Genomic DNA, 22783 nt, shown 5'->3' with positions numbered 1-22783 from the left:
GGGCTTCCTATTATTACCTCATCATTCATCTGGTCTTGTCTCCGTGCCACATTTCTTTAATTTTTCTATCTTGATGCAGTCAAATCTATGACGGCAAGTTTGGCATTCCATTCTTCTTTTCCTTGATTTTAATTGTATTTTTTACTAATAATTTTCTCAAATTGGATTCATGGTTTCGTAGGGTTATTTTAGAAGGATTTGTATCTTTACAATATTGAGTTTCCTTTCAAAGACCACGATCTCTTCCTTTCTCCTGCAAACTTTGGATAAATTTTAAGACCGATGCACTTGAAAATAAATCCCAATTGCTTAATATGCTATGTTTTCTCCACAGAAATTGTCCTTCTGATAATCTATTCATCCACAAGAATTTGGGCAAAACCCAAAAGTGTCCTCAAGAAAGCAAAAATCAAGATTCGTTAGACAAGATTTTTTAAACAAACAAATCCAAGACCAGATACTTTCTAGGGTCTTTGATGACACACCTTTACAAACTAAAGAGCTGAGTCAGTATTGACTTCGTAACTCTGAAGACATTTTTCCAAGTCCCAAATAAACTGTAACTTTGATGACATCAGAACTCATGAAAAAATAATAAATAAATCAAAACCCTTCACCACCATGTTCTAAATGAAAGACAACATCTAACATGAATCTATAGGACAAAAACCAAAAACAAAATTAAAAAATTATGTCACGTCATGAAGTCAACACAGCCAGATTTGCTCTAGGCTATATATTAGATGGGTGCAAAAGTAATTGCAGTTAAAAGACATGTTTAAAAATAAAGGCATGAAAGAAAAAAAACAAGATTAAAGAAAAAGAAGTAACATCTAAAGAATTAAGGTTTAAAAATCGTGAAACTCACTGAAAAGAAATATCGATTGGCTACTCTTATCAAAATAATTCCAAAATTACTCACAGGGACAAGTATGCCTAGCTATGTGAAACTTTGAGGAATGGTGCAGTGGGGAGGAAATGCTAAGACTGCTATAGTTGATGGCCTTTCCAAACTTGGGGTTGACCTCCTCCATTGCAAAGCATGCAAGTGTTTCCAGGTTTTCTCACCTGGGAAACCTATGCCCATCTTTTCTGAATCTCTGACAAGTTACCTCACAAATAGCATACTCCCTCTCTTATGCTAATCATGTACTTCTATTCCCTGCTCCTTTGAGAAGGCTTGATATATTGCCCTCAAAGAGTCCAGATCTTTGAGAATAGCATGTTTCCTATTCCCTTGAGAGCCTCAAACCTGACGAAATGAGAGAGTTCCCTGACCCCCCTTGCAGGACATGAAACAGGGGTGTGGCTCACCTGTTCAGTTGCTGCCACTGCTCAACCCCTGATGGGAGGGGGGGGCACCTGTAGACGGGCAGGTGCACAAGCCAGGGCAGGTGATTTGGGCTCTGGCCCTGCGTTAGTGTCTAGGGGTGGGTACCTGTGGCCCCAGTGCTACAATGCTCTTTTAGCCTTGCTGTCCACAGATGGTTTGAGTGTTAACCAGCTCAATGGACTCTCTACCTTTTCATAAGGGCAGAGTGCCAGTGTGACAACTTTCTGTACCTCAAGCTCTTTCCCAGAGTACTGGAAGAAGAATCTGGTCACACACGGGCTTGAAGGATGAATGTGGGGTTTTAACTGAGTGGTGATGGTGGCTCTCAGCCAGACGGATGGGGAACTAGAAGGCGGATGGAGTGGGAAGATGATCTTCCCCTGGAGTTAGGCCATCCAAAGGCTGAACTCCCCTCCGCCCACCCCCAACTGAACCCTTCTGGCATTCAGTTGTTCCCTCTCTTCTTTCTTTCTCTCGAGCTACCCTCTTCCACTGTTCATCTGCTTGTCTCCTTGTCTCCTCCTCTCCTTGTCTGCCTTTGGAGCCTGGAGTTTCGGGTTTATATGGGTACAAGATGGGGCGTGGTGGGCCAAAAGGCAACATTTGAGGTGTGAAAACAAGAATGCCTGTCCCAATTTAGGACCACAGGTCCAGGGTGGGGCCTTTACTGGGAACCACCCTCTTCTATCCAGTATTTCTATCTCTTGTCCATATTGCTGGAACATATAGGATATTTCAACTCTCCAAACATGGGTAGACAAAAAAAGCTATTCATTTCTGATGAACCTATATGTTGAACAAATCATATGTGAGGATTACATAATTTAACAAGTAATGAGTGTATAGATTGGTATTTGAGAGGTAAATAAGTATTAGTTGTTAATATTCATATTGATGATGGAAAGATGTCTAAGAAAACAAGACAGATAAGCAAAAATAAATTTATAAGTGTGAATTGCTTAATTTTTTGGAAGCTTTCAATATTGGTATTTTACATGCCACCCCTTCAATTCTTTCTAATAAAACATAGTGAAGTCAGTTTTAATTAGGCTATATTATCATTTATGTCTCAGTGATAACCAAGAATGAATTGTATGTAATTATTCTATTAATCAACAGTATGCTCACAGAAATTGATGTTATATCTATAAATGTGTTTTGACTTGTTTTTCCTGTTTTTGTTACAAAGAAAATTAATAAATATGCTTCCAAAAGACCTGGAGTTCAAAGGTTATTTTACAAGCAAAACTTATAAATTAGTCTTTAAAACATAGCTTAATATTATAGAAACTCAAGAAAAACAAAATTTCCAAAGTAAACAGCATATAATCACATGTTAAATCTGACTCATAATTCAATTATTTTATCTTTTAGATATATTGTGCTGTTCATTTTCACAAAGTTTAATTACTAAGATGTTTAAAATAATATAAAACCAGAAATTCTAAATTTAGGGTGGAATTTTCTAAATATTCCTCAGTGAGAAGCTGTTTCTCTTATTTCTACTTTCTTTTTCTGTTAAATGAGAGATATTACAATATTTATATTTTGCTGACATGTAAATATCAATATAATAAGATGGAGACTATTGAGTTCACCAAATGTTAGAGATATTGTTGTATTCTCTCAAAAGCAATAGCTTGGTAAGAGGCTTGGAATGAAAGGTAAGATCTCAAGGTAGAAGCCAAAAATGGAACAACTATCATATGATTTCTTTTCCTGTACTGTGCATTAAAGTTTTGAAATGGTTATAAATATTCAGAATCGCTGTTTTTCTTGTTATTCTGCAGACTGTCACAAGGCTTGCTATCTTCCTTCCTTCAGGTTCAAAATCATAAGGTTTTTTTTTGTTCCACCATCAAAAATAACTCCTTCCATCAGTCATTCATTCTCTAACACATTATCCTAATTTATATTTCTTTCTTGTACTTTTCATTATCTAAAACCATACATTGCATTCACTTGTTCATTCAGTATTTCACCTGCTAGTGTATAATCTCTATTATTTTTTTTCTTCATTTCTGAATTCCCTGTGCATCCAATAGTGATTGAGAGCACAGATTTTAGAGTCAAATAGCCTGGGTTTGAAACAAGTGCCACAACTTAAAGCCATGCAAATACATTCGATGCCCCAGTTTCTAATTTTTAAAATGAAGATTATAATGCCCATGTCTCACAGGCTTATGTTGATGACTACGTGACATCCTGAAATAGTACTTGGCACTTTTTTAGCACTATTTAAATGGTTTGCAATTATTTTATTTCCTCCTTATTTCCCTCTCTTCCATCTTTCTTCCTCCTCCTTTTTTCCTCTTTCCCCTTCCTGTGTCTCTTGTCCCTTCATTTCTTCCATAAAACAGATTTACATATGTTCTGCTTTTATTTTCCCATTGGGCCCATGTTTCCTATCGGCAAGGATTTCTAAGCTTCACCTTTCCTTATGAAGTAAAAGTCAGTGATCATTAAACCAACCGCCACATACTCCTAAAATCCATTCTCTGATTTTTAAAATTTTCCACAAGTTGTTTAAATAATATTGTTCATGGAATATTATAAAATCTTGAAATTTTAACACAAAGTTGTTTCAGTACACTTTAGATGTATCCATTGGAATCTAGATATCACAGCATTTTGTCATCTATGTTCATCAAGAATATTAGCCTGTAATTTTCTTTTCTTGTAATGTCCTTGTTTGGCTTTGACATCAGTGTAATACCGGCCTTAAAAAATGAATTTGGAAGTATTCCTTGTACTTCAGTTTTTTGAAGAGTTTGAGCATTCTTGATATTCAACATTATTTAAGAATAGAAAAATAACTCATCTTTATCAATTAGAACTTTTAGAAAAGTGTTTCTTTAAACTCCAATTTCCATTTCAATTCTTCCACACAATTTTATTATAATGTAATATATTTTATGCTTGAATTTGTTTATTTTTTACTCTACCAAACTTCTTTATAACAATATGTTTATACATTGAAATCATTTCATGGTCTATGTCCTAAAATTTGTTCTGAATTGAGTTTTCATTATAGTGTTTATTAGTATACAACCGATCAAAACAATAGGATATGTTACAAAATTTTATGAGTAATAACTAAACGTAAAATTTCAGAATTAGACCTCCTAATAAGATGTAAGAGGTGTATTTTTCTCCTAACTAGTTGAATTATTTGAAGATGAACATTTTTCAATGCATGAATGAGAAATGATTCAGCATCAATTCTATTCTTGTTTTTTCCTTTTGAATGTGTAAGCACTGAGAAAATTTGTTCACATTAACAAATAGATAGGATTGGATGGAATTTTATTATAGAAGTATAACTTAATTATTTGAATTCAAGCCAAGTTATGTGCCAAAAATCATAATAATGTATCATCAAGAATTGCCTTTAATGATTTATCACCTGACAGCCAGATTAGATTTTACTTCAATTTCTTTGTTTCCAGGTAATTTTTAATTGCTTTTTGAAGTATTTTTGCTTTGGCTCCTTTAATATCCTTCTGGGATAATTCCAATATCTTATCTGTATGAGTGTTGGCTTGCCAACCATCTTTTCTCATTTATGTTCTAATGTTCTTGTTTTATGGTATGAACAGTGATTTTTTTCCATTAATCCTGGACATTTTGAATATCATACTATGAGACTGTGTTCTACCATTCTTTTCTTTTGCAAAAAGTTCCTAATTTGAAGTATAGCATGAGAATTAGGTGAGCATATATGTTCACATCACTGACTCACAGTGCCTTGTTGCAAAAGAGTGTCCTGGAAATTCAGCCACTCCCTCTTTCCCAGAAGAGGCTGGAAATAGATTTGCAGCAACTAATTCCTTGCAAGGGTGGGTGTAAGATAAGGTCCCACTTGACAACAAGCAAAGGTTAGCACGAGGGGATCTTGTTGTTTTATTGTCATTTGTTGCAGCAGGGTCGGGAGGAAGCTCAGCTCCCTGCTGGGTTCTGCTGACAGCAGGGAAGGGGAAAGAAGAATCAAAGTGCCAACCAGTTTGACCTCCCACCACCACCTCTGCCTGTTTGATGCCAGGTGGAGGTGGAAGTGGAGCTCCCTATTGGCCCTTATGGACATCATAAGTGGCAGAGCATGGAGCACAGCACATGTTAGCCCTGACTTATACTTCTTTGTTCAGTCTTATTAACGCCAAATGGAGCTGGAGGCTGAAATCCTCACAGCCCCTGGCTGACATAGGGAAAAGGGTAAAGAATATTGGTGACTAGCTCCACCTTGTACCATTTCATCAAATTTTGTTGCCTCTGCTGCTGGACTCCACTGATACTATCCTGGCATGAGAATCTGAGCAGCAGCTTCTTCTGTTTGATGAAGGATGGAAGGTCAGTTCCCTGCTCAGCCCCTCTGCCCTCAGTAGGGTGGGATGCAGTGGGGGTGGAAAATCAACTCTCTGCACTGCCCTGCTGTAATAGCAGTTGCGGTGGTGATTTTTTTTTCCATTTATGGAGTAAGTTGAGTATTACTAAAACGTTTTTCTATTGTTAGGCCATCCTTTTCCTTTTCCTTTTCCTTTTTCCTGGCTAGAGAAACAAGCTTTCCTGAGAGGTTTTATTGACTGTGCCTGTTTGTTGCTCCAGGCTGGAAGCTTCTGTGGAGCTCTGTCCAGAGTATATGGGAGGCAATACGGAAACCCACAGACCTCTCCACAGTGTAGACACACAGATCCCAAGCACTCTGGACAGCCCCCTTCTTTCCACCTTCCCGAGTCTTCCTAGGCCTGTTTGTTGTATTATTTCCAGAGATTTTTTAGTTATAATTGTGAGGTCCTGGAAGGACGGGGGCTACTCCATCTTGGTGAATTCAGAAGTCTCCTTCCTTCAATTTTTGGAAAGCAAGAAACTGGAAACCACTTAATTTGCCAGAATTATGTTATCCAGCTATTAGATTCAGCTTCTCAATTCTAGGAAAGTGCATTTAAAATTGTTTAACAAGCCTTCTTAAATGATTTTTAATTTTGTATGTTATTCTTTCACTTAAAGCCAACATCTTTAACTCAATAAAATAATTTTTGATAATACATTTTAATCTTACTATATTTTTTGTATAAATCTTCAAAAGCTTGGGAAGAGCTTGGGAAGATTTTGAAGATTTAAGTTTATGAATTTTTGATTGGCATTCATAATTACAATGATCACTTTGATACTCTGGATAATTTTATGTCACAGGACAATGCTTCATAAGGTAAGTAATAATGTTTTGTTGGTGGGAGGCCTTCTTCTAAGGCAGTACATTTTATGAATTACTATATTATGAATGAGTGCCTGGGGAATTTGAGTCTTCCTTCAAAACTGTGGGTGTATGTCTGTTGAAAATTGTTGGAACATCCTTAGGAATATGCAGACTGGTTCAAAGATCACAAGTACAGGTAAATAAATACTCCCTGACTCTTTTCATATTTAGGAATCAATTTCTTTCCCTCTGACCACCTTTGCCTACTATTTTGGGAGGGAAATATCAGCTTTCTGCATTGGTATCTTAGTTGTTTGACTTGGGCCCCTGTCATAGTCTGTCAAATGCAGTGAGCTCAAGTTTACTTTTTTGGGGGGGTGTATCTTATGCTAGCATAGGAGACTCTTGGGTTTAAGAGAATTCCTCCAAGGTAACCTGTGTTCCTGGTAACCTTACTGCTTTCCTACTAACGTTAGTAAAGTTGTTTCTTTCCCCTAATGTTATCTGTTTCTCCAAAAATGAAATATCCACTATTTTCATTCCTAAATGGAAAACATAAGGTTACCCATTTGTATGCTTACATTAGGAGAAATTAGGAGAAGAATTTCAGATGTTACTGAGTAATTTGAACAGCTTCTGTGTGAGTTGCGGCTGGGGTTTATGGCGTAATCCTCTTTTTTCAAAAATTGCCCTTTCAATTATTTAGGTTTAGGCATTAGACTATGCCCCTTTAATGCCTTTAAATGCCTTCCACTACATTTAATCTGCTATTATAGATAGAATAATTTCTGATCCAGTTTCATATATTGTTTTATCTATATGTCCTATTTATTGGATTTTTATTATTCATTTTTCTTTCTCATGTCTGAAATGGAATGTCCATTCAGATCAGTTTGTAAAATTACTACTCCCTTAGCTGAAAAAAATACTTTGTAAAAGCAAGTGAGTGAAATAATCGGGTAAAAAATATATTTAAGAAAGTGGTACTATGCTTTTACCAGTTGAGCCATTCTAGTATCCCGTGACCTAGAGACCTCATCTCGTGCATATATTTATTTCTGAGGGCTGCCACACATAACCTACTTATGTTGGTAGCATTTTTTTGTCCCCTATGCCAGGCTAAGAAAAAAAAAAAAGCAAAGAATTCACCATACTCAATTTCCACCACTACAGCTTTGTTTTTCATCAAGAGTTTCTATAAACTTAATTATGTGAATAAAAGTTATGTGAATGGAAGAGCATAGTGCATTACATTAAATATTAGCATATGTGTAAAATCTAGATTACTTGTGATCACAGACATCAAAAAGATTTTTTTTTTTCTAATTTGTGACTGTTAGATTGAAAAAAAGTTTAGGTCCTATTTTTTTTTGAAAATTTTACTCTATTTCCCTGATTGAAAAAAAGATAAAGTAACAAACTGTTTCTCCACGTAGACTGATAGGAGTATGTTATCTCTGAAAACTATTAACAAAAATCTGAAGGCCCACGTGACCTTAAGCACTCTTCCTTCTCCCTTCTTTGGGGTGAATTTCAGGAAAATTTTCTGAAAAAATAAACTTTTTAATTAATGCCTTTGATAACAAAGACATTCTTTTTTCTTGACAAAATTAGTTCTTACCATTAATATTTATTTCAACATAATGAAAAACACCAACTTGTAAAGTTTAAAATCACACCTTCAGAAACAAACATCATGAGTTAGAAATCTTTAAGCCTTTAAGTTCAAGGAATGTGTGAACATTTGAAAAGTTGATCAAAATGTACACAGAGTCTTCCTTGAAGAAAAATAAATAAATCAGAAAAAAAAATTTAACTAAATCTTTAATGTTGAAATCTGTTATAAGGAACAAATAGAAGTATTTCAAAAGATCCAGGAAATATAAGCAAAATAAGGGATTCACAAACATGTTATAGGATTTCAGATGGAAAACAAAAAAAAAATAAATAAATAAGAAAACATCTACGCTTTTTCTAGTTGGATAATCTGAAGCCTTCTATACACGCTGCTTAAAATGTATATATGTTGACTATAATAATGTCTTTTGGTTTGACTCTGAATGAATGAAAGCTATGGTTGAATTTGAAGAGAGGAGTAATGTGATCTGAGGCATGATTTGTCAAGTTAAAACAAACCTCAACTTAGATAGGAGAGACTTTATTGGAAAAGATTAGCATAATAAGGGAAAGGAGAATATTGAATTAGGAGGAGAAAAAGCCAAAGGTCTGGGAGAAGGGAATTTTCCTTTCTTGCCATGTGAACAGCTACTCTGTTGCTTCCAGCTGCTGCATCATTGCGTGTTATATGTGTATCCACCACATATAACTTATCCATTGTCCCCCAATTGGCCAAGACACATATTTTATCCAGATTGGTCATGATTTACAAACAGTTCAGATAATCATTAATGAAGCAAAGAATAAAAATTTAGGGGATCTGTGTCTGTCTTTGTCAAAGAGTAACAAGGAGGGCATCTATGAGTCTTATGTGGAGTCCTGTGAAGAAGGGTGGTGCTCTGCAGTATGCTATTTCCTGGAACACAAAAATGTGGGTGATTAGTTAAGACCTCTCTGTGTTTCTGTGCTGCAGGGCTCAGGTGAAGTTCAGCATTATCATTTTTATAAAGATCACTGGTGGCTGGTGTGGTGACAGTAGACTCTTAGGAGCAAGGTAGAATGAAGAAGGCTAGTTGAAACTGACTCAAGAGTCCCATAGACAATTGTTTGGGGATGAACATAGAAATGAACCCTTCTGCTGTTAAAGTTTGAACCTTACATTTGTTTTAACTGAGTTGCTTCCTCAGGAAATTACCTTCAGGCCGCTCACAAAAAGTATCAGTTGGGCACGGTGGCTCATGCCTGTAATCCCAGCATTTTGGGAGGCCAAGGTAGGGAGATCACTTGAGGCTAGGATTTCAAGACAAGCCTGGCCAAAATGGTGAAACCCCATCACTACTAAAAATACAAAAATTAGCCGGGTGTGGTGATGCATGCCTGTAATCCCAGCTACTCAGGAGGCTGAGGCATGAGAATCGCTTGAACCCAGAGTGATTGAGGTTGCAGCTTGAATTCAGAGTGACCGGAGGTTGAAGTGAGCCGAGATCAGGCCCCTGCACTCCAGCCTGGGTGACAGAGCACGACTCTGCCTCAACAAACAAACGAACAAAAAAGTGTCAAAGAACTGAAACCAGATCACCACATCAGATGCTGGACCCCTCATTCACCGTGATTGCTTCCTTTCCCCCGGCAAGTCCTGTTTTTTAATACATTCTTACATTTCTAACCTGCTATATAAATCCCTGGTGTTAGTCAGTCAGGGAGATGTATTTGAAACTGAGCTCCCATCTCCTTGGCTGCAGCACCGAATTAAAGCCTTCTTCCTTGGCATTACTTGTTGTCTCAGTGACTGGCTTTCTGTGTGGAAAGCAGCAGGACCTTAGACCAAACCCCTGGTGTTTTGTTAACATAGTTAAAAGCTCATCACAGGAATGATGCCTGCTTGAATCTAGTAGGTGGTAAGATTTCATATATATTTTGAAGTATCACTGTCAATATTATCCATGTTGCCAAGTGAACAGCTACTCTGTTGCTTCTAACTGCTGCATTATTGTGTGTTATGTGTGCATCCACTAATATATAACAACCACAGTACCAGGATTGAACCCTCAGATTGGATCCAGTTTGAATCACTGTTTTTACTATTATTGGATCTCTGTTTTAATACTCTACTATGATGATAAATTGAGGGACAGTTAATCTGTCAGTATCCTTCCTACCTTCCTTCTATTACGTATAAAAAGATTGACTGCAAATGGTTTAAAGTTGAATTCTCTGTTTAGGGTTCATAATGCAGATATTATATTTTGATTAGGACGTCGATATACTTTGGATATCACCTTAGTAGGTAGTAACATTTGCCATTTTGAAGAAATAGAGGAATCTAATTAATACTAGCACATCATAAAATTAATTTTGTGAGAAGCTATATCTGAGATAATATGCATCACAGCAATTTATAAATTCCCAAAGCATTAGATAAATTACAGTTTACCGAGCTGGAGATCCTTGGCGAGAGAAATGATGAGCCAGGATTGGAACTAGATTCTACAGAGTTGAACTGGCAGGTTGCATCTGTCAGAACTCTGTTTTGTTTTGTTTTCACTTTTGTTTTACTCTTTTCCTCATTCTCCCTGCTTTTCTGTAAGAAAATGCAATGATTCACATCTGACTGGAGCAGCAAATATTTCACTGGTGGCTTGAGAAAACCTTGACTATACCAATCTCTAGCAGAAAAAAATGAAAGATGCTTTGATGTTTGTTATCTTTTCAGTTAATTGCATAATTTGCTCTCTTAGCTGCCAAGAAAAAACAGAAAACCAAAAACCAAAAAGACAAACAAACAAAAACCAAAGGGTCCCTTCATCACTCCCAGGCAAAACCATTTTTTAGCTTCTGCTAACAATAAAACATCACAATATGAAATTTATTTTATCTTATTTCATTTCCAAGTGTTAGTTTCTCTCAAACCGTTCATTACTTGTTCTTCTGCTTAAAATTGAGAGTTTTCAAATATTTTGGCAAACTGAGCCCTGAGATGCTGTGAAATAATGACACTTGGAAAAAGATAAAGGTGGCAGATGGTTTCATGCACACAATAAAACAAAGCTCCCATAATACATTCTAAGAGGCACTTTACTATCCTATGGTCCCTCTGACATCCAGTCACAATTCTTTTCTTCCTCAGTCCTAACATTGATTAACAAGATTCTCTTTAATTTGGAAAATTAATCTAACAAATTAATGATATTCATGAATAATGTATCAATAGTAATTCTCAAAGAGTTAATTGTGGCATAGACTCTTTAGGTACAACATATGGTATCAAGCAGAGAACCTAAACAAAGTTACCTTAGCCATTGTATAATATAGTCTTCATGCTGATTGATATGGTTTGGCTGTGTCACCATCCAAATCTCATCTTGAATTGTAGTTCCCATAATCCCCATGTGTTGTGGGAAGGACCCGGTGGGAGGTAATTGAATCATGGGGATGGTTACCTCCATGAGGTTCTCGTGATAGTGAGTGAATTCTCATGAGATCTGATGGCTTTATCAGGGTTTTCCCCTTTTGCTTGGCACTTCTCCTTCCTGCCATCATGTGAAGAAGGACATATTTGCTTCCCCTTCCACCACGATTGTAAGTTTCCTGAGGCCTCGCCAGCCATACACAAATGTGGGTCCATTAAACCTCTTTCTTTTAAAAATTGCTCAGTCTCAGGTAAATCATTATTAGCAGAGTGAGAATGAACTAATACAGTAAATTGGTACTGCAGAGAGTGGTGTGCTGCTATAAGGATACCAAAGGATGTGGAAGAGATTTTAGAACTGGGTAACAGGGAGGGGATTGGAACAGTCTGAAGGGCTTAGAAGAAGACAGGAAAATGTGGGAATATTTTCAACTTCCTAGAGACTTGGAGGGCTCAAAAGACAGGAAGATGTGGGAAAGTTTGGAACTTCCTAGAGACTTGTTGAATGGCTTTGACCAACATAGTGATATAGACAGTGAAGTCCGGGCTGAGGTGGTCTCAGATGGAGATGAGGAACTTTTTGGGAATTGGAATAAAAGTGACTCTTGCTATGTTTTTCCAAAGAGACTGGTGGCAATTTGTCCCTGCCCTAGAGATCTGTGGAAGTTTGAACTTGAGAGATGATTTAGAGTATCTGTTGGAAGAAATTTCTAAGCAGCATAGCACTCAAGAGGTGACTTGGGTGCTCTTAAAAGCATCCAGTTTTCTGTTTTCACAAATATATGGTTTGGAATTGGAACTTATGTTTAAAAGGGAAGCAAAGCACAAAAGTTTGGAAAATTTGCAGCCTGATGATGCAATAGAAAAGAAGAGAAGGACGTATTTGTTTCCCTTCTGCCGTGATTGTAAGTTTCCTGAGTCCTCCCCAGTGCTGTGGAACTATGAGTCAATTAAACCTCTTTCCTCTGTAAATTACCTAGTTTCAGGCAGTTATTTATAGCAGCATGAGAATAAACTAATTCACTGATAATAGGAAAAGGATTCCTTACAAAAGGCAGATAGACCTTTGCATAACTAGCCTAAGAATAATCCCAATTTACTAACCCCATCTACTCTCCATAAGAAAGAAAAAACTCATGCTATGGTGGTGCCAGCAGGTATTAATGTACCATTGAAGAAAATTTCTCTTTACTTTCAGAAAATTGATGAACTTTGGATATTTGTGAAACACCTGAATTTTATTAAAAAGTAAATTGTTTTATTGGCATATTTACATATTCTGCTTTACTTGTTATGACGATACTTAAATATGAGCAATTGTAATTATCATGTATTGGCAAATGAAATAATAAAATATTATTTTCTCTTAGAAAACTTAAATTATATTATTAAAAATTCACAAGATGATTTGCAATGTGCTATGGTGGATTGGTTGTATGGAAAATACACCATCTACTTACATAAATAGGGGTAAAAGTAGTGGAAGGAAAGAAAGGAGATTTTCAGTCCCTGCTGTTATTTTATTTCATCTTATGTCTTTTTTGGGGGAAGTTGGTGGTACTATACATTTACGGTCTAGAAGTTGACATAATTTTAACTTTGGAAAATAAGTTTGACATCAAATGATAATATAAATATTATCAGTATAATCTTTTCAAAATTTTTTTGTTACAGAAAGTTTAGGGTATACCTAATAAAAATAAACAGTTATAAGTTACGTTGAGTTTACTATAAAAAACTACATTTGTGTCTGTTGAAGGAAGTAGACATCTAATTCTAAAATATAGCATTTTAGAGTAGATAATTATAATTTTATAATTTTATTATAATTTAACATTTTATTGAAGTTTTGAGAAAAATTAAATACTTTTAGCACATAGATGTTCAACATAAATAGGTAAATGAAAAAAAGATACACAGTTTACTTATGAAGTGTTACTTATATTTTGTGTTTTTCAAACTTTATTGTTTTTTATGATCTTTGTTTTCAACTGAAATGATTATTTTAAAAGCAACTCTGAAAAAAAGCATATGTATCTTAGACTCTCTTCGTCCACAGATTTTTACTGATTCTTTTTGGTTATTGCCCTATTCCATCCCATTACGCAGTCCTATTTTTTCCACAGTTGCTCTTCATTTTTCCACTCTAATACTCTCCATCTATTTATACTCCTTTCCTTTACCCCTCCCCCAAGAAACACACACCTCTCATGCTGTTGGGTCCCTTTTGCATTTTCAGACCATAAAAAGACTACCAGCTAGGCTTCTCCCTTTTATTCCAATCTCAGCTTAAACGTCACTTCCTCAAAGTGACTTTCTTTGACTGTCCAATCTACATTAGCTCTCCAGATCTCTACTACATTATCATATTTTATTTTCTCCACTGGACTTATTAGAATTTGAAACTGTTTTGTTTGTATTTATTTAGACTGTAAGATTTATGAGATCATTTTTAACTCATAAAAGAATAGCTTTAATGCATGATAGTAAATTAATAAATATTTTGGTATTAAGAATATGAGCTGTCATGGTTCAGATACCAAGCCCACTGGTGATACAAGTTAAATAGCATTCTTTTCTGTTGAATGATGTGATTAAATATGTAAACTAATAAACTCTCTTTAGGCTACTTCAGCATCTTGGTGCATTTCTCTGTGGGTGTTTATTTTTATCTGTTTCCTTTCAAGATAGTATTTGAGTCAATTTTCTTTTAACTATAAGTGTAAGAACTTCTCACTCTCAGGAGAAAATATTTGGAAGTTCTTCAAAACAGTTGCTCCACCATTTGGGAAAAATAACTGAAGTTAAGCAGGATATGAAGTGGAAACTTTGTAAGTTTCTCTTCAGTTCATTCCACTGCAATTCAATTCTAAGCAGCCCCAGAGCTATTATGCGTTTTAGAATTGCAAGCAAAGCATGTCTTCTCTGGACATTCTTTTGAATGTGGTTGCAAAGTTATGTGCAGAAAAGTACACTACAAGGAAGAAACACATAATGTACAATGATTTCATTTATGCTCCTGCTCTGAATTTAATGTTGGCCATGTATTTCTCTAAGTAGTGTATTTATGATATAGACATTTGGTGTCTACAGATGACCAAAGCATTGCATGAGGTACTGCAGTAATTATGGAAATGATTGGAATCATGTTTCATCCTTCCAAGGGTTCACATTCTCACTGGCATGTGTAGAGGCAGCACTTAATTTGGCTAACTATTGGTTACTTTACATGTCCTGCTATACAGATAGTTATACTTGAAAATGGATGGCTTGGGATATACATCCAAACAGGAAAGAAAATCTGTCAAGGAGAATAGATCACCAGAAAGTCATAATGAAAAAAAGATTTATTTATAGTGGCAATTATTACCTTTATTAATATATATCATTTAAAACATTTAATTTTATTATGAGAAAAATTACATATGTTCTTTATAGAAAATTAGTGATTAAATACATTTTTAAGTAAGTCACAAACAATAGAACAATGGTAATTGTTAATTTTTGTGTATGTTTTCTTGTGAACAAATTATGTCTAATAAGTGATGTTGTGTATGCAGAGATTTTTTTAAAATATATAAATATAATTCAAATATATGCACAAAATAAAATGTCAAAAGTAGAGAAAACATCAAAATCTCCCTCTATATTTCTTATTGCCTCCTTGGGGTATAATCACACTTAAGTGTGAATGTATTATCTTCATAACTTTAAAAGATTATAAGTTATTGTTTTTGTGTGTGATTGTATGTGTGCGTGAATTTAAAAGAATGTACCTCATAGAACTCCAAATAACTATAATGCTAAGGACCTCAGTTACTGCCCTCTGAAAACAATCTTTTAATTTTACCTAACATGCTTCCCGTGGCATAATCCTAGTCAATGACTTAGAATGCCCAGGATGCTAAGACAGACTCCTTATCAGGGGACGTGGAACTTCTCTGACAACCAGTTTTGGCTCCAAGACTCTATCTTCACTGAACTTCTTTAGCTGGGATTCGTACGCCTAATCTTCCCTACCTCACTTCTTTATTAAGGATTGGATTGCTCTGCGCTCTGATGGAGTGAGGGCTGTATTTCTGGTGTAGTGCACTAATACTAGAGACTCACTGCCATCATCCTGACACATTTGTAGTGTGAAGGTTCTATCCTGGGAGAGGCAAGTTGAGAAGGCTAGAGGCTACAGAACCCGTCTCAGCAGTCACTCCTATGACAAGGGTGTCACTCGGAGAGAAGCATGCTATTATCTCTGCCCCCGCTGCAGACTCTTGATTCAGATTTCTTCGTGTGTGCAAATGGAAAGAGATATAATAAAACAAAGATCTCTGAAGCCCTTCTCAAAGAAATTCACTTCATTATACAGTGTGGAGTAAGTTCAAGATTAAGGCAACTGTCAATAACAATAGAGAATTTGGTGGAAAGAAATGAGAGGAGACTGGTAGTTTTATTGTGATATACCAAACCACGGGCAGCTAGTTTACCTAAGTGAATCAGGAAAGAGACAGCTCAAGAGCGCCCTCCTGGTGTCAAAGCAAACCGGAAACTCAAATCTCAAATGCTATCTATACAAAGGAGCCCACATTTAATTAGAGCAGGCTGTGGAGTAAATTGTGCCTGAGGGCACACTTGAAAAAAAAATTAAATGGGCCAGCAATTAATGGAGCTTAATTGTATGTGTTGTCAAGGAAAGAGGTAGAGTCCTATTCGTCAGAGTCTTCACACTGAGGAGAAATAGACTTAACTAAAATAATCTAGCCTTTCACGAAACATATAAACATGCACATAACAATAACAAGCTTAGGGTGGAGGAAGTACCTGGAATTACTACACTATATTATCTAAAATTTCTAGTTTTCAACAAAAATTTGTAAGAAATGCAAAGAAACAGAAAAATATGACCTATACATAAGGAAAAAAAATAAAAGGTAAAGGAAGCTGCTTATGAGAGTGACTAAATACTAAATATGCTCAAAATACTAAAATAAAATATTCTAAAAGACAAAACTATGATGACAATGTCACATCAGGAAAGCATTAAACAATAGGAGTTATTGAAAAGAATCAAATTGAATTTCTGAAGTTTAAATGTATAACAAGTGAAATAAAAAATACACTAGAGGAGCTGAATTGAAAGAGGACATATTAGTAAATTGAACATTTATAGAGATCATGCAATCAAAAGAATAGAAAATAAAAACGATGAAGAAAAATGAACAGTGCCTAAGAGAAATGTGGGACAAGTTTAAGTGCATAAAGAAATGCATAACTGGAGTACAGAAAGATGGGAAAGAGATAAAGAAGCAAAAAGATTTTTGAAAAAACAATGGCTGAAAACTTCTCATATATAATAAAAAACATTAATCTACACATCCAAGAGTCTTATCACACTCCACGCTGGATAACATAAATAGATGTACACAAAGACATACCATAGTGAAAATGTGTAAAACCAAAGACAAATCTTGAGAGCCTTAAGATAAAAGTGACTCATTACTTAAAACACCAATAAGATTAACAGTGACAATTCACAAGAAACAGTGTAAAAGTTATAGAAGAACAAATAAAAATGAGACATAAATAATACCCATGTAATATGGCAGGTGCTGACTCCACTATGTTAATAATAATAATAAATATGAATAGATTAAGTAGTCCATTAAAAACGTATGCATTTTTAGACTGGATATAAAAACAAAACCCAGTTATATATTTTTCTACAGGAGACATATTTTAGATTCAAATATATAAATAGATTAAAATTAAAAGGATAGAAAAAAGTTGTCACAGAGAAAATATAAGACTGAAGTGGTTATACTCATATCAGACAAAATAGACTTTAGAACAAAGAATGTTACTGGAAGTAAAGAGGGACATTTTATAATAATAAAAGTGTCAGCCCATCAGGAAAATATGACAAGCTTAAACATATGCATCCAACAAGTAAGGACCAAATCCATGAAGCAAAACTTGGAGAAGTAAGAGGAAAACTGTATAATTCAATAATGATAGTTAGAAGACTGAAGACCTCATATATTTGTGGAATGATTAGACAGAAGAACAAGGAGGGAAAAAAGATTTGGACAGTACTATAGACCAATTTAGACCCAACAGGTATCTATAGAACAGTCTACCTAACAACAGCAGACTAGACATCTTCTCAAGATTACATGAAACATTCTCCTAGATAGACTATATACTATACTACAGTCTCAGAAAGTTTAAAATACGTAAACATCACATAGTCTGTTCTCTAACTAACATGTAATGAAATCAGAAAGCAATAACAGAAATAATTTTGGAACACTTAAAAATATGTAGAAATGTTAAAAAATCCTAAATGAAAAATAGATCAAAGGAAATAATATGCAAGTAGTTAGAAAAAAATGAGATAAAAGGGAATAAATGCACAATATAGTAAAACTTATAACAATAGAGCAATGCTTAGAGGAAAATTTAGGTCTATAAATAACTATATTAAAAATATACATTTCAAATTAATATCTTTTCACCTTAAGACAGTGAGAAAAGAGATCAAATGAATTCCAACATAATACAGAAAGAAAAAACTTAAAATATGGCAAAAATTAGTAAAATAGAAAAATATTAGAGATATAAATGAAACCAAAAATAGATTCTTTGTAAAGATCAACAAAATCGACAAAGCTTTAGCTAGACTGAGCAAAAAAATACAAAAAGAAGGATTCAAATTACTAAAATTAGAAATGAAAGATAGGACATCACTACCAGCCCTACAGAAAAGGTTTAAAAAAGATTATAAAGTAATGCTATGACAATTATGTGCCAATACATTAGTCAACTTAGCCAAAATGAACAAACTCCTGTAAAGACAAAAACTACTAAAACTGACTAAAGAAGAAATGGAAAATCCAGTAAGGAGATTGAATTAGTAGAAAACAAACAAAAACTCCTCAGGCATTCATGATCTCACTGGTGGATTCTACCAACATTTAACAAAAATTAATAGCAATTCTTCATATGGTCTTCCACAAAATAGAAGATAGTGCTTCTCAACTCATTCTATTAGGCTAGTTTTACTCTAATATCCCCTAAGATTAGGAATAAGAAAAGAATATTTTCACCACATCTATTCTATACTTAGGTTCTAGCCAGAACAATTAGGCAAGCAAATGAAATACAAGCTATCAGGACTGGAAATTAAAAAGTAAAAATATCTGTATTTACAGACTACATGAATTTATGTATGGAAAATCTTAATCCACTAAAAAATCAAAGCTATTAAGTTCAGGCTGGGTATGGTGGCTCATGCCTGTAATCCCAACACTTTTGGAGGCCAAGGTGGGTAGATCATATGATCAGGAGTTTGAGACCACCCTGGCCAACATGGTGAAACCCCGTCTCAACTAAAAATACAAAAAAATAGCCGGGTGTGGTGGCACATGCCTGTAATCCCAGCTACTTGGGAGGCTGAGACAGGATAATTGCTTGAACCCAGGAGGCAGAGGTTGCAGTAAGCCGAGATTGTGCCACTGCACTCCAGCCTGGGCGACAGAGCAAGACTCCATCTCAAAAAAAAAATTAAAAATAAAAAATAAAATAAACAAGTTCAGAATTAGTGAAGGATATGTTTAATTTATAGTAATCAATTATTTTCCTATGCGTTTTCAATGAAGAATCTAAAAATGAAATAAGAAAAACTTTTTCCACTTACAATTGCACCAAAAATAATAAACACTTAGGAATAAAATTCACAAGACAGGTACAAAACTTATACTCTGAAAACAACAATATATTGTTGAAAGCAATTAAAAAGGATATAAAGAAATAAAAAACCATTCTCTATGAGCTGAAAGACTTACTACTGTAAATATGACAATAGTCTTTGAATTGTTCTATATATTAAACAAATCATTCTGAAAATCCCAGCTGGCTTCTTTGTAGACATGACAAGCTGATTCTAAAATTTAAATGTAAACTTATGGGACACTGAATAATCAAAACAATTTTGTAAAGAACAAAGTCATAGGAATCACACTTCCTGATTTCAAACTTATTATACAGCCAGTGCAATCAATATGACATGGCACTGGCATAAAGGTAGACACAAATCAAAGGAATAGAATTGTGAGTTCAAAACTATCCCTCACATTTATGGGAAATTGATTTTCAACAAGATTGCCAATATATTTGGATGAAGAAAGAATAGTCTTTTCAACAAAGATGCTGAGACAACTATATACCTGCCAGCAAAAAAAGGAAGTTGTACCCATATCTTCTACCGTATACAAAAGTTAACACAAAATGACTCAGAGAACTAGATGTAAGAGTGAAAATATACAATTTATTAGAAGAAAACATCTTATAAAGGCAAAACCTTATGACCTTATATGTGGCCATAGTTTCTTAAGCATGATACCAGAAGAACAAGCAACAAAAGAAGCAGAATAAATAAATGGTATGTATTCAAAATTTAAAACATTGTGTTTCAATGGACACTTAAGAACGTGACCAAAGCCCACACAATAAGAGAATATCTTTGCAAATCATACATTTGAAAAGGGAGTTGTATCTCAAATATATGAAGGATTCTCACAATTCAATAATTCAGAAAGCCAATAAAATGATCTTTTTAAAAATCACCAAAAGATCTAAGTGACATTTCTCTCAAGAAAATATGCAAATATCTAATAAGTACATAAAAACGCTCATCATTAGGTACTAGCAAAAGGCAAATGAAAACCACAATCAGATAGCACTTTATACCCACTTGTATGGCTATAAGTAAAAAGACAGATAATAAATAATGTTGGAGCGGATATGGAAGAATAAATATCCCCACATGCTGCTAGTGGGAATGTAATGTGATGTATAATCACTTTGGAAAACAGTCTGACAGTTACTGAGAAAAGTTAAACATACAAGGACTATTGGACCCTGCAATTCTACTCTTAGGGGCATATGTTTACGTGTGTGTGTGTGTGTATGTGTGTGTGTGTGTGTGTGTAGTGTGTATATAAATACATACATAGATATATCTATATAAAGAAATGAAACGTATATCTACAAAATAACTTGTACACCATAATAACCAAAAGCTAGAAACACCCCAGATGTCCATCAACTGATGAATGGATAAACTGATGAATAGATATATTTCATACAATGGAATATTATTCAGTAAAAAAAAGAAATGAGTACTGATACTACTACATAGATGAACTTGGAAAACTATTTTAAGCAACAGAAGCCAGTTATATATTGGCAAATCTGTAGAAACAGAAAGAGATTAGTGGTTTCCTCTACTTGAGTGAATGAAGGTAGAAGATAGCTAAATTGTATCAGGTTTCTTTTTGGGATTATAATGATCTAAAACTGATAATGGTGATGATTGCATAACTGTCAATATACTAAGTACCACTGAATCGCACTCTTTAAATGGATGAATTGTATGGTGTATAAATTATATCTCAATAAAATTGTTACTTTTCCTCCTTGAAGAGGCAGACACTAAGATGGGATTCCATTGTAGGGATTTTATTAGGAGAAGTGTCTGTGTGAGACAGAAATTAGGGGAAGCTGGGAAAATCTGGAAGAGCAGTCAATATCTTAGAAAACAAAAAGTAGGCAAGTGGAAAGAAGCCTAGAATACTAAAGGAAGCAGAAGCCTGTGGAGGAGTAAGGCAGTGAGAACCAACCTCATTTCTGCCAGTTATGAGCAGTTTCATGAATTTGAGGTAACATGTACCCCTAAAAGAGGGGAACTGAGTTAATAACTAGTAGCTGGTTAAAAGCTTTACATTAGATAACAAGATATCTTCTCTCAACTTAAATCTAGGTCACTTGTTCTCTTTTATTCTAACAGAAGTTGGGAGGTTTATTCTAAATGTAACAGAGCAGCTTAACTTCAAAATGCATTTTAAACTTTTTTTTTCGTTTCTCTTGGGTGTCAAGATATAACCTTGAGGCAAACTGCAGAAGCGTTTTCCCTTAGCCTTAAAATAGACTCTACATCTCTCCCTTTCTCACTGTGTATACTCCCTTCACATTTATCTAACCGTATGCTAGTCTGGGTACTCTTAGAAGTTCCAGGGGCTACTCTTTAGACAGACAGACCAAGTCTAGAGACCCAGCTGCAAAGTTCCAGAGATTACTTCAAGGAGGCTAATTAACCTGGCCATTATTGCAATGGCATGAGCCTGAAGACAAAGTGGACTTCAACCACTTACTTTGGAGAGGAATCGGCTGCTTCCCCTTTACCAGTTTTGGTTAATAAATTCACTTTCTTTCTCCCAGACTTCACTCTTGTTAATTGAACTCTGCAAGTGGTGAGCATCTGGACCAGCATTCAGTTACATAAAGCGATTAAAATACAAAATCTGAGCACCAGGAGACATAATTCGCAGATGAGGGCAATGGAGGGGTACTTTACTACTAAAACCAGACAAATTAACTAATAGCTTACGTATTTTAAAAATAAGGCCCATCACTCTTTGTTCAACCCTTCAACTTTTTTCTCAGAGTAACATATAGGCATAGTTATTCTATTGTTCCCTGGGAAGATAATTAAAGCTTTCCCCTACCCCTCTCACTAGGGAGACTGGCCACCAGAACTAAATGCCTCCTCCAGCTAAATTCCTGGATTTTCTACCTAGTTATACTACAATTAAGTTCAGCAAAATTGATACTCCCCCCATTACATGCATATAGCCCTTCAAATCAACTTGTCTTACTCTTAAACAAAAGTGACTTTTAATGACCATCAGACATTTGAGGAAGTCTTCTATTAGGAAAAATAGATACTAATAAATATATAGGGGAAAATCAAATATAGAATGCAGGATTCAGAAGAAAAACTGATTACAACCAGCAACACAATATTAACCTACTATGATAGTGTTAATCAAATAGGAGAATCAGATATTGCAGCCTTGAAAGGAAAAGAAAATGTTGTCTAAAACATTAAAATCAAGGAAAAAGAAGGTGATCTTGGAAACTAACAGAAAAGCCGGGAGGGGTAGCTCACGCCTGTAATCCCGGCACTTTGGGAGGCCGAGGCAGGTGGATCACTTGGTGTCAGGAGTCCAAGACCAGCCTGGCCAACACAGTGACACCCCGTCTCTACTGAAAATGCAAAAGTTAGCCCAGCATGGTGGAGGGCCCCTGTAATCCCAGCTACTCAGGAGGCTGAGACAGGAGAATAGCTTGAATCTGGGAGGCGGAGGTTGCAGTGAGCTGAGATTGTGCTACTGCA

General features: G+C 35.2%; 1 long non-coding RNA gene across 1 annotated transcript in view; it reads left to right on the top strand.

The window, feature by feature from the left end:
- The first annotated feature begins 5934 nt into the window (after positions 1-5934).
- Positions 5935-22783, top strand: part of LOC105372047 (uncharacterized) — a 61121-nt gene continuing 44272 nt past the window's right edge. Inside the window, exon 1 of the long non-coding RNA XR_935332.2 lies at positions 5935-6539. This is a non-coding gene — a long non-coding RNA (uncharacterized LOC105372047). The remainder of the gene's footprint in view (positions 6540-22783) is intronic.

The sequence above is a fragment of the Homo sapiens genome, chromosome 18 (assembly GCF_000001405.40).
Source record: "Homo sapiens chromosome 18, GRCh38.p14 Primary Assembly".
In the NCBI taxonomy this organism is placed as follows: Eukaryota; Metazoa; Chordata; class Mammalia; order Primates; family Hominidae; genus Homo; species Homo sapiens.
This window is presented reverse-complemented; position numbering and strand designations above follow the sequence as displayed.